Source organism: Homo sapiens, chromosome 9, assembly GCF_000001405.40.
Source record: "Homo sapiens chromosome 9, GRCh38.p14 Primary Assembly".
NCBI lineage: Eukaryota > Metazoa > Chordata > Mammalia > Primates > Hominidae > Homo > Homo sapiens.
Window position 1 is genome coordinate 11824917 of NC_000009.12, and position 10908 is coordinate 11835824.

Sequence of the window (10908 nt, forward strand, 5' to 3'; positions counted from 1 at the left end):
ATTCTGCAGTTCATGGATCAAGGAGTGATTTTGACCCTTAAGTCTTATTCTTTAAGTAATGCATTGTGTAATGTGTTCCCTGCCATATATATTGATTCCTCCAATAGAACTGGGAAAAGTAAATTGAAAACCTTCTGGAAAGAAGTTTCTAGACGCCATTGAGATCATTAGTGATTTATTGCAAGTGGTAAAAATATGAACGTTAACAGAAATTTAGAAAAAGTTGATTCCAGCCTTCATGGATGACTTTGAGGGATTCAAGACTTCAGTGGAGTAAGTTACTGAGATGTGACAGCAATATCAACAGAACTACAATTAAAATTGAAGCCTGAAGATGTGACTGAGTATGGCAATCTCATGATAAAACTTGAACTAATGAAGAGATACTTCTTATGAATGAGCAAAGGAAATGATTTCTTGAGATGAAATCTACTTCTGGTGAAAATGCTATGAACATTGTTGAAATGACAACAAAAGATTTATAATACTATGTATACTTAGTTGATAAAGCAGTGGTAGGATTTGAGAGGATTGACTAATTTTGAAATTTTATAGTGGGCAAAATGGTATCAATCAGTGTTGCATGCTACAACAAAAGCTTTTGTGAAAGGATGAGACAATCATTGTGGCAGACTTCGTTTTTACCCTATTTTAAGAAATTGCCACAGCCACTCCAACCTTCAGCAATCACCACCCTCATTGGCCAGTAGCCGTCAACATTAAGTCAAGAGCCTCCACCAGCAGACAAATTGCAACTTGCTTAAGGCTCAGATGATTTTTAACATTTTCTAGCAGTGAAGTATTTTTATATTAAAGTATGTACATTGTTTTCTTAGACATATTGCTACTGTGCACTTAATAGACTTCAGTATAGTATAAACATGACTTTTATACACACTTGGAAACAAAAAAATTGTACAATTTGCTTTATGGTGATATTTACTTCATTATGGTGTTTGAAACTGAACCTGCAATATCCCCAGGTATGCCTGTTATTAGAATCTAGGAACAGAGAACAATGAAGTGTATACTAATTGATAAAATTTATTATTATAAAGTACTAAGTTATTAAAATTTGTATTTTCTCAATCATTTGGCCTTCATTATTTTACCTTACATATTACTAAACCCCTCATATGCTTATTTCTTTCTTAGCATACTTCTCATAGAAAACATGCTTTTGAATAGATAACTCCGAGTATATCTAGAGTATTATGATAAATGTCACACTTGTGCTTTAGAAATTAATTATGCACTAAGCCTTTATTTCAGATGACCTCTGTGGAACGTTTGCTTGGTACTGCAAATTAAAGGAAATAAAAGACTCCTAGACTTGAGGAGCTTATAGTCATGGTAAATTCGGATATGAAAACAGGTAGTTGTAGTAAACTCTGACACATTTATCCATCTCAATGGAAAGATTGATTGACCAATAGAAAATTAATTCAGGTTTATAGAATTATTGGATGCAGTACGGATGGAGAAGGGTTATTCCTTTTAGAGAAACTGAGTAAACCGTTGCCTCATCACTTTGTCACATCATGACTTTTGTGAGAGCAGCATGGTTAGGTACATCTGATAGAACATCTGGAGGGATGCCAGCTAAGTTCTTGAGATAGTCATTTTCAAGGTATTAACTTCAACAAAGAGGAACTTCGCTTCCAACAGCAATGATTCTTGCACCTCTGGGAAATAATAAAATAATATTATTACAAATGAAAATTGTGAAGGTAAATATTGACCTCGAATGAAGTGGCACTAATAAAATTCAAGAAAAAATGCGTAGAAGAACACATTACCAAACCTGAAAACACAAGGCAACAACAATAACAACAAATAATATAATTCATGTAAATTAGTAAAGCCACTGTGGAGAACAATAGAGGTCCCTCAAAAAACTAAAAATAGAACTACTGTGTGACCCAGCAATTCCACTGCTGGGTATATATTCAAAAAATTAAAAGAAAATTAGTATATTGAAAAGGTGTCCACACTCCCATGTTTATCGTAACACGATTCACAATAGCCAAGACAGAGAATTAACTTAAGTGTTCATCACATTATAAATGGATAAAGAAAATGGGTATATACGCATACACTGGAATAATATTCAGCCATAAAAAGTGAAGTTTTTTCATTTGCAGCAAGATGGGTGGAACTGGAGCACATTGTGTTAAGTGAAATAAGCCAGGCACAAAAAGACATACATTACATATTCTCACTCATATGTGGAAGCTAAAAAAGTTGATTATCATGAAAGCAGACAATAAAATGTTGGTTGTCAGAGGCTGGGAAAGGTAGGGAGAGGTGGGGATAAAATGGGATTGTTTAATAAGTACAAAAATACAATTAGTAGAAGTAATGAGTTCCAATGTTCAATAGTACAGTAGAACTACTATAGTTAATAATAACATATTGTGTATTTCAAAATAGACAGAAGAGAAGATTTGGACTTTTCCCAACACAAATAATACTTTTTTAAGGTGATGAATATCACAATTATTTTGATTTGATCGATTTGATCATTAGACATTATTTGCTTGTATCAAAATCACACATGTACAGCATAACAGGTGCAACTCATGTATCAGTTTTAAAAAGCTAAAAAGAGAATAGAATCAATTCCATAAGTTGTAGAAGTTATGGGGTCCCCAAAAAAAGAGAACAAAAGGAAATGATGATCAAGTCCTACTTAATATTTTAGTATTTGCAAATATAAACTACAAATGAGATTGGAGATTTAACTAAACAATATTTAGTTAGAATCTGTAATTTTTATTCTGTAGTTAAAATGTGTTATTCACTTAAATTTGTTGCATAGATGGATTACAAGGATTAAGATTGAAAGAAGTGTATTAGGCAGAAGAAGGAATATTATTAGAAATTTGGAAAGGAAATGTTCGCAATTGCCATTTTGAACTCTTATTCTGAGAATTTAATTTAAAAGTGAACCATGATTTAGAAAATCCAGCAATGTGTTGGGCACCTATCTTGGTAATTTCCTCATTTGAAGTAATGCAGAGATGTTTTTGGTTTAATTGGGTTTAAATAAACTGCAATACGCCGCAAAGGGCATCCACTTTTGTTTAAAGGGGGACTAAAAATAAGTATATTTTTAACTAAAAACAAACTGTTATTTCTAGTAATTTTGGACATATTCAACTTTTTAAAATAGTTCCCTGATAGGAGAGTCAATGCTTTATGTTTTCCCTACAAAATATTGTGTGAGACAGTGATTTTCTCTGATACACAATTTGTTTCTTAGATATATTTATCAATAACTTTTGAAAGTACCCTGAGATTTGTATTCTGTTTACTGCTTTAGAGCACTAACAAAATTGTTTCCTTTGGAGTAATTCTGTTTTATTGATGTATTAAAAATGTGGTGCAGGCTAATGTGGAGAATTTGGTCTGCCACTTTAAATCAATAGTGATCTATAGAACTATATGAGGTCAAGCACTGTTCAGCCTACCCTTGCAACAAATCATAATGTCACATTAAGTACTTACAGAGTGTTATTAACCAAAGAAAACCTCCTGCGGAAAGAAGATGTTTATTGAAGGTAGCATACGGAAAGCTCTATAGGAAGATATTCAAAAATATTGCATCAGAACAGAGATCTAATGCAGCGGGAGACAGAAAACTGGAATAATAAATAATACCAGGTGGTATTGGTTATCATGATAATGTTTGTATTTTTTAGAAAGACATTTATTTTTAGAGAGAAAAAGGAAAAATATCATCTTCTTACTCAGAGAAGTTCACGAATCTGAATAAGTAAATGTGTCTTTTGTTCCCTAGTCGACTATCAGAATCACTTCTCTCATTTAGAATTTTTTAAAATAAAGGGAAAAATAGGTGTGTGTGTGTGTGTGTGTGTGTGTGTGTGTGTGTGTCTGCATGGAGTCAAAATGAGATTGGACTGATAATTTATCAAAATATTTCTTTGTGTAAATGTAATTTACTATGTCTGTTATTTTAATTTCACTCCTTCATTCATTGTCATGTATTTCAGCCAACTATGAGCCAGGTTCTGTGCCAAACTGAATACATGGTGCAGAATAAAACAGATACAGCCTTGGTCTCTGCTCTTATAAAACTTAGTAACAGCTTATACTCTGGTAAGGGGGAACATCGTAAGGCGATATGCTTGAATCTGAGGAAGCAAACACATTCATTTGGGGGGAACACAAAGTTCCAATAAAGTAATGAAACAGTAGATGAATCCTTGGATAAGAAGATACAACAAAAGCAGTTGTGGAAAGTTACAGAAGCTCATGTGATCTGGTTGTCTTGGTTATACCTCAGAAGTCTGTATCCTCTGCTCTTTTCTCTGGTGATCTATCTCATCTTTCTCCACTTCTGTCCACTTCTATTTCCATTCATTATCCAGCTTTGCTTCTGATTCTGTTTTTCTTCTGTCTCCGTGTCGTATTCTCAAGTCTATAAAAGAGAGGCTCAGGATAGTTATGTACCAGCTATATCAATCAGAATTCTTATTTATGAGCAACACTATATACTTCAATTATTTTAATTTTTAAAAACTATTGGGCAACTCACAGAATATACAAAAGAGAGCAGATGATCCGGTGTAGGGCAATGAAGACAGAAACAATGTCCAAATTACCTGCAGAGGTCTCGTTTAGCATAGGATATCAGCACTTCAGGAGTCTGCACGATCTGAACACTGGATGATGCTCTTACACAGCTACCTTAGGAAGTGGATATATCTGCTAATCTCCTTAACAGAATGAATTATCTGCTGTATATTCTTCATGAAATATCCTAAGCATAAGAAGGGGATTCAAATATGGTTTGGTAGCCAAAGATCTGCTATAATTTTCCAAATGGAAGTCTCCTATTGTGCATGATTTTGGTGTCTTACAACTTAAAGTTTCCTGAACTCCATGAAATCTATAGAGTGTTTTGTGGTTATTTAGCTCCCATTCCTTTATCAAATTACTAGAGGTAATGGTAACAGTCTCAAATGACCCAAATGAACTTACATAGACTGTGTGTGTGTATGTGTGTATGTGTGTGTCTGTGTATATACATATATATGTGTGTATATGTATATGTGTGTGTATATATGTATATATATACATATATACACACATATACATATATACATATATATGTATATGTGTGTGTATATATACACACATATATACACACACATATACATATACACAGACATACACATATATATATATATATATTTATCTGTTGGCTATATCTCAGGGGAAAACATGGCTTTAAATGGTTAGGGTTTCATGAATTTATCTTAAATAAAATAGGCTTAGTAATTTCTCATCTTACACTTTGATTGTGAATAATAAGCATAATGCTTTTAAAAATATATATTCTATCATATTCCAAAAAGTTTTTATAGAAAAATATGAAATATATGTAACACAGTGGTAGAAAGTAATATAAAATTGAAATATACTTTTGAAAATAATATTAAGTAATATAAAGGTGGAAAACAATTGTTTTGATATCTTGTCTACATGCTATGTGTGACCTCCAATTCTCAAAATTAGATTCTGAACATTTCAAAAGACAATCCAAACAAGGAAGTCTAAGAAGTTACATTATCAATGATGTTCATGATTCAAAACAAACAATACAGATTACTCAATATAAGTATAACAATTACCTTTTAAAACTCAAAAGAAATAGTTCAGTGATTGTATTCCTCATAAAAAACTACTATGAAATAAACTGTAGTAGCAACAAAGTTATGAAGCTAATAACCGTTTCCTATAAACAATTCTTACAATGTTTCTCACAGTAAGTTGATAGAATGTGCTAAAGCCTAATTTTATTTTTAATAATTCTAAGAGATTTAAAATATTATATATATTAGATTATTATAAAAATAAAATCTATACAAAGTAAATATTGATAGATTTTTTTTTTTTTACTGGTAGATCTGTGCAGATTAGAGCCTGAGGAAACGTTGTAGGGAATTCAAGAAAAACTGATGTAGAGGAAATGTTAGACTGCATATTCTCTAGGTCAAAGTCTATTAATATGAATCTTTTCAACTATTTTGCAAATACTAATCAGATGTGATTTTTGGATTACACTCTGGCAATTATTTGGAGCACACATTTTCTATTTTGCTAAATGCTTTAACAGACAACTAAGCTTGATATAGGTTTGCTAGGCTAAGTAACATAAAAACTCTGAAAATGATTTTTACATTAATGCATCATAATATGTAAAACTATTACTATCCTTTACCTTATCTCAAGATTAAGAGTGAACTCTTCTTATCTCAGTTCTAGCTTATGGAAAAAGATAATAGGCATTATATTTCACAGGTTCATCATGAAGATGTTTCAAAATAGGTTACTGAAAAGAAGCTAGTTGATTCCAAAGTTAACACCCTGGAGGGAATATAAAGTCAAGAGTGTGAATACCTTAGAGAATAAATAGCAAGTAAGTATCAAGAGAGCAGGGAGAGTTACCTTTTTTTAAATCTCAGCCTGGAGTTTGAAACTTAGAACCAATGGAGGTGTTGGGGGTGGGGGGTGCAGAGTGGGGAAGAGTGGATTTGTGTCTTCAAACTAAAAAATTCAAAAATTATAATATAGGTGAGCCAGATGTACACAGATCTACTGAAGACTATTTGGGGGACAAAGCTATATTATGAATATATTCACATATTCACATATATTGTGAATTATATGTGGTCAAGAGTGAGGATAGCTAGCTCACTTGTAATTGCTCTCTTTGGTCCTGTAGTATAGGCCCACCTATAGGAAGGAAACAGGCTCAAAAGAGGGAAGTAATAGTATCTCTGGCCTCCTGCATTAAGCAAAGGAAGTCAGGAAACAGCAGAAGGAGCAATTCACCAATATCATCAAATACATTACCAGTAAAAATTTCTAATAATGGGGGTTAATTCTCAAAAACAAACAAACAAAAAAAGAAACAGAAGAAATTGCAAAATACTTATTAAAAGAATGAGTTAGTTTAGTTGCATGTCAAGCCTAACGATGGTAAAGCCGAGTTCCAATAGTGCTAGCAAAATTAGAATGATTTTGATGAGATTAAATTCTTATCACATTCTGATTCTTAATAGGTGTGGAGAAAGAGATATGGTGTCAAAGAAAAAGTCAATAGCGATCTCTAGCATGCTGTAAGATGTCTTTCTTCCTGACTACAGATCTCTGAAAACAGATGGGAAAAAACTGTATCTTTGAATTTTAAAAAGAAAATGTATATTATATTGGTCTGAACACTTTTAATTTTCTATCTGAGACAGTATTTTAAGACTTAAAATATTATAGGGCTTTTAAACAACCTAACTGTGAACAAAAAAAAAAAAAATCACTGAAACTACAAGAACTTTCATCTAGGGTCAGGGAAAGAAGTCTACTAAATAATTGTTAAAGGGGCAGCAGTTGAAATCCAAACTATAGTTTTATTTGACCGTGTCCTAAAAGTTATGCTTGCTTAGAAATCTGGTGTGTGTGTGTGTGTGTGTGTGTGTGTGTGTGTGTGTGTCTGTGTGTGTGAGAGAGAGAGAGAGGAAGGAAGGAAGGAAGGGCACGAGAGAGATTGAGAGAGAGAGGGGAAGGAAGGAAGGAAGGAAGGAAATAAGGAAATAAGGACATTTTCAAAAGAATCTGTAATCAAAACTTTACAGCATCAAGGTCAATTAGATGTTGATATCATCTCGCCGTGAAATAATTTTAAAAATCAGCTTCATTCATGTTTAAAACACATTAGCAAATCACTAAAGAAAATAAATCCTGATGGAGGATGTATATAATGATCTTATCAACATTTAACACTTGCAATACTTATGAATGAGAAATAAAGGAAGCTATATTAATATCTGTTTACCACATAGAGTGTAATAGCAGTTTACTGTCATGAAATCTTGGATATTTGTACTTGTTTCAGAATATCATACATATAACACACAGATGGGTGTACTTACATATTTTTAAGTGTCTTAAAACAGTTGGTGTCATACCTAAGGTCAGGGCAAGTGTTCAAAAGATTAAATTTAGAATAACTGGAGCATAACTAAAAAGGGAAAACACATTTCTCTTTTAATATATGTTTCTACACTGCTCTGTTCCTAGACATCACACCTAAACCCAATATAGCATTCATAAATATCTACCTCAGCCAAACGGAGCACAATTTACAAGCAAAATAGATTTTGTTTTCTTCATTCTGTTTCCAAATAACGAATTCTCTTTTATTTCTTCCACTGCTTATAGTTCCAATGGAACAAGCTATGGAATGAAGCTTGTTATAAAAGTGGACTTCAGGGTGCATTAAAAATGATTGTGTATAGACAATAGAACATTAAAACATGTTTTCTTAGGAACAGATGCCAGCTGGCAGGGAATAGAGCACTTAATTTAATTTTTTAACCAAGACAGCTTATGTGTACTCCTCAAATACACTATTACATATAGGACAATTTATTGCCACCATTGCAATGGAAACAACTCAAAACTGTTTGGGTAGACATATTATTTTGTATTTCTATTTTGTTTATAGTAAAGATAAACTGTTTCATGCAGTTTATAGTAAAACAGCAATTATTAGTAGAATCTGGAGGTTGAAAGCAGGTGAACTATCCTTCTGGATACTGGAGTAGCCATTTCTGTTCTCCTATTCAATCCGGCCTCCCCTCGTTCCTTAGCATGATCATGAAGGACATCTTAGGAAAGTGTTTTACTCGATATTTTCCCCCTCAGCTGTAAATAGGAAAGCCTCTTGTTTAATTCATGCCTTATTAATCATACATAAAAGTCCAAATCCTCTGCTAGACAGGAATTCTCTAGTTCATATGGGTTCCATGGTTCCTGGACAAACCCTCTGCCTTGCTCTGGTGGAGACTGATGCTGATCTGGAGGTTTAGAACACGAGGCTCGCCTAGCCAACAGCCTGAAATCAGGCCAGGAACTAGCAAACAGCCTTAAATCAGGTCAGGAAATAAGATGGTTAGTTATATCTTTCCAGGGTCAAGCCTGTAATACCTGAGGCCCGAGACCTGCAACCTGAGGCTCCCATCAGCTACTACAATAGCAAACCTGTGGAAGACCTAAAATACCTGTTTTTTAAACAGCCAAGAGATAAGTAATTACTTACAGGCTTCCTTTGGTAACTTTATTACATAGTTACTGTAGACTATAGTAACCATTTTATATTGTACAGTTTCATTGCTTCCTTCCAAGCAACTGAACTCACTTCTTTTGTAATAATTAAGTAAATGTTTTAATTTGTTTCTATAACAAACAGTTTTAATAGCATAGGTATCCACCCCCTGAGTTTCCCATTCTATAAAACAAAATAACAGATATTTTTGGGTCCCATGTGGTTAACCATGGTCTGTGTATACTGGGGCTATGCATACTGGGAATCAGTTTAATTTTACAGCAGAGTTTATCTTGTGGAGAGCTTGGATGACTTTTCCCATAGTATCATTACCATACAAAATTAAATAGACTCCTTGGCAGTGGTCACTTTACAAAAGAGAAGAAATCTAGATCTTCTAACAGCTGAAAAGGGCAGCGTATGTCTTTTTCTAGAGGAAAAATGCAGTTTTATGTCAATCAGTCAGGAATATTGAGGGATATTGCCCAAAAACTAGCCGATTGAGCCTCTAGGAGATGACTACAGCTTTCTGAGTCATGGAACTTTTGGTAAAAAAAAAAAATGTGGAGTTGGGGTTCATGGCTCCTTCCCCTAGCCAGCCCCCTATTAATAATTACACTTTACCTGGTTTTTGGACCATGTGTGTTACATCTTTTAGCCAAATTTGTTTCTTCTTGCATAGAGGCCATCAAACTCCAGATCATGATGCAGATGGAACCCTGTGTGAAAGAACCCTTCCTCTCAGGCCCATTAGACCATCCTCTGGAGGATCCCTTACTGCCACAGTAACAATGCCCTCTCACAGCTTGAAGAAGCCTGAGCGGTCATCTACCCTCTCCCTCTAATGGCAATTAGGGTCACCACTGGAATGAGAGAGGAGGCAGGTAGAGGCTGGTTAGGCAGATAGATAGGAGGGGTCTCAGAAGAGGAACATTGCCTGTGGGACCACACCACCACTGCCTTTGTTATGTAGCTAGCAGGAGGAAATGTGCTTTATGAGCAAGATTCTTGCTCATAAAGGGACTTTCCAGCTGCAAGTGCAGGTGCAGACAAAGACTGAGGACATTCTAAAATGACCTTGAACTCATTATGATGCCATTAGTATTATTGTGGTTTTAGACTCACCCCCCACCCCATGGATTTCGCTTAGGCACTAATGGGTAACAACCAAGATGGAGTCACTATGGCCAACACCAGGCATGTGCAGATGCGACGACCCCAGGGGGAAGCTTTACCCTTCCCAATAAGGTAAAACCCACAGAAGACGTTCTTGTTTCTGCCACATGAAAGACCCAGAACTCAACCCCATTTTTGGCAACCCTCTCTGGTTCCTCTCTCACTGCTGAGAGCTTTCTTTCACTTAATAAATCCTACTCTGCCTTACTCATTCCCCAGTTTTCTCATGCCTTATTCATCTTGGTTGTGGGACAAAACTTGGACCTTACTAAACTAAGGAGACTGCACACACAAGAATTGAGTTATACTAGATTTATGAATTAATGACCACGGGTAGGTGCTCAATTATAAATTATTTCCAGAAACACACATTATGTACCTATTTTGTAAGATTTAAAAATTCTTTTGATGGTGGGATACAATAGTGACACTTGAATTGATAAAAGGCAGACTTTTTGTTACTGACAGCTCCAAGACAGAGGGCTGCTAAGCAGGATCACATGGAAAGTTGGATTTGCGGACAGGGTGTCAGAAAGTTACAGTAGTAGGGGGCAGTCTATGTATGACAAGTGGGGTGAAGTTAAATTTTTCAGGCTTCT

The 10908-nt window shown here is 34.5% G+C and overlaps 1 long non-coding RNA gene across 1 annotated transcript; it reads right to left on the reverse strand.

The window, feature by feature from the left end:
- Positions 1–1289: 1289 nt before the first annotated feature.
- Positions 1290–10106, reverse strand: LOC101929446 (uncharacterized). The gene is made up of 3 exons (XR_242531.6): positions 9758–10106; positions 4305–4444; positions 1290–1685 (listed from the first exon to the last, which is right to left on the reverse strand). It is a non-coding gene; the product is annotated as an uncharacterized LOC101929446 (long non-coding RNA).
- Positions 10107–10908: the final 802 nt, after the last annotated feature.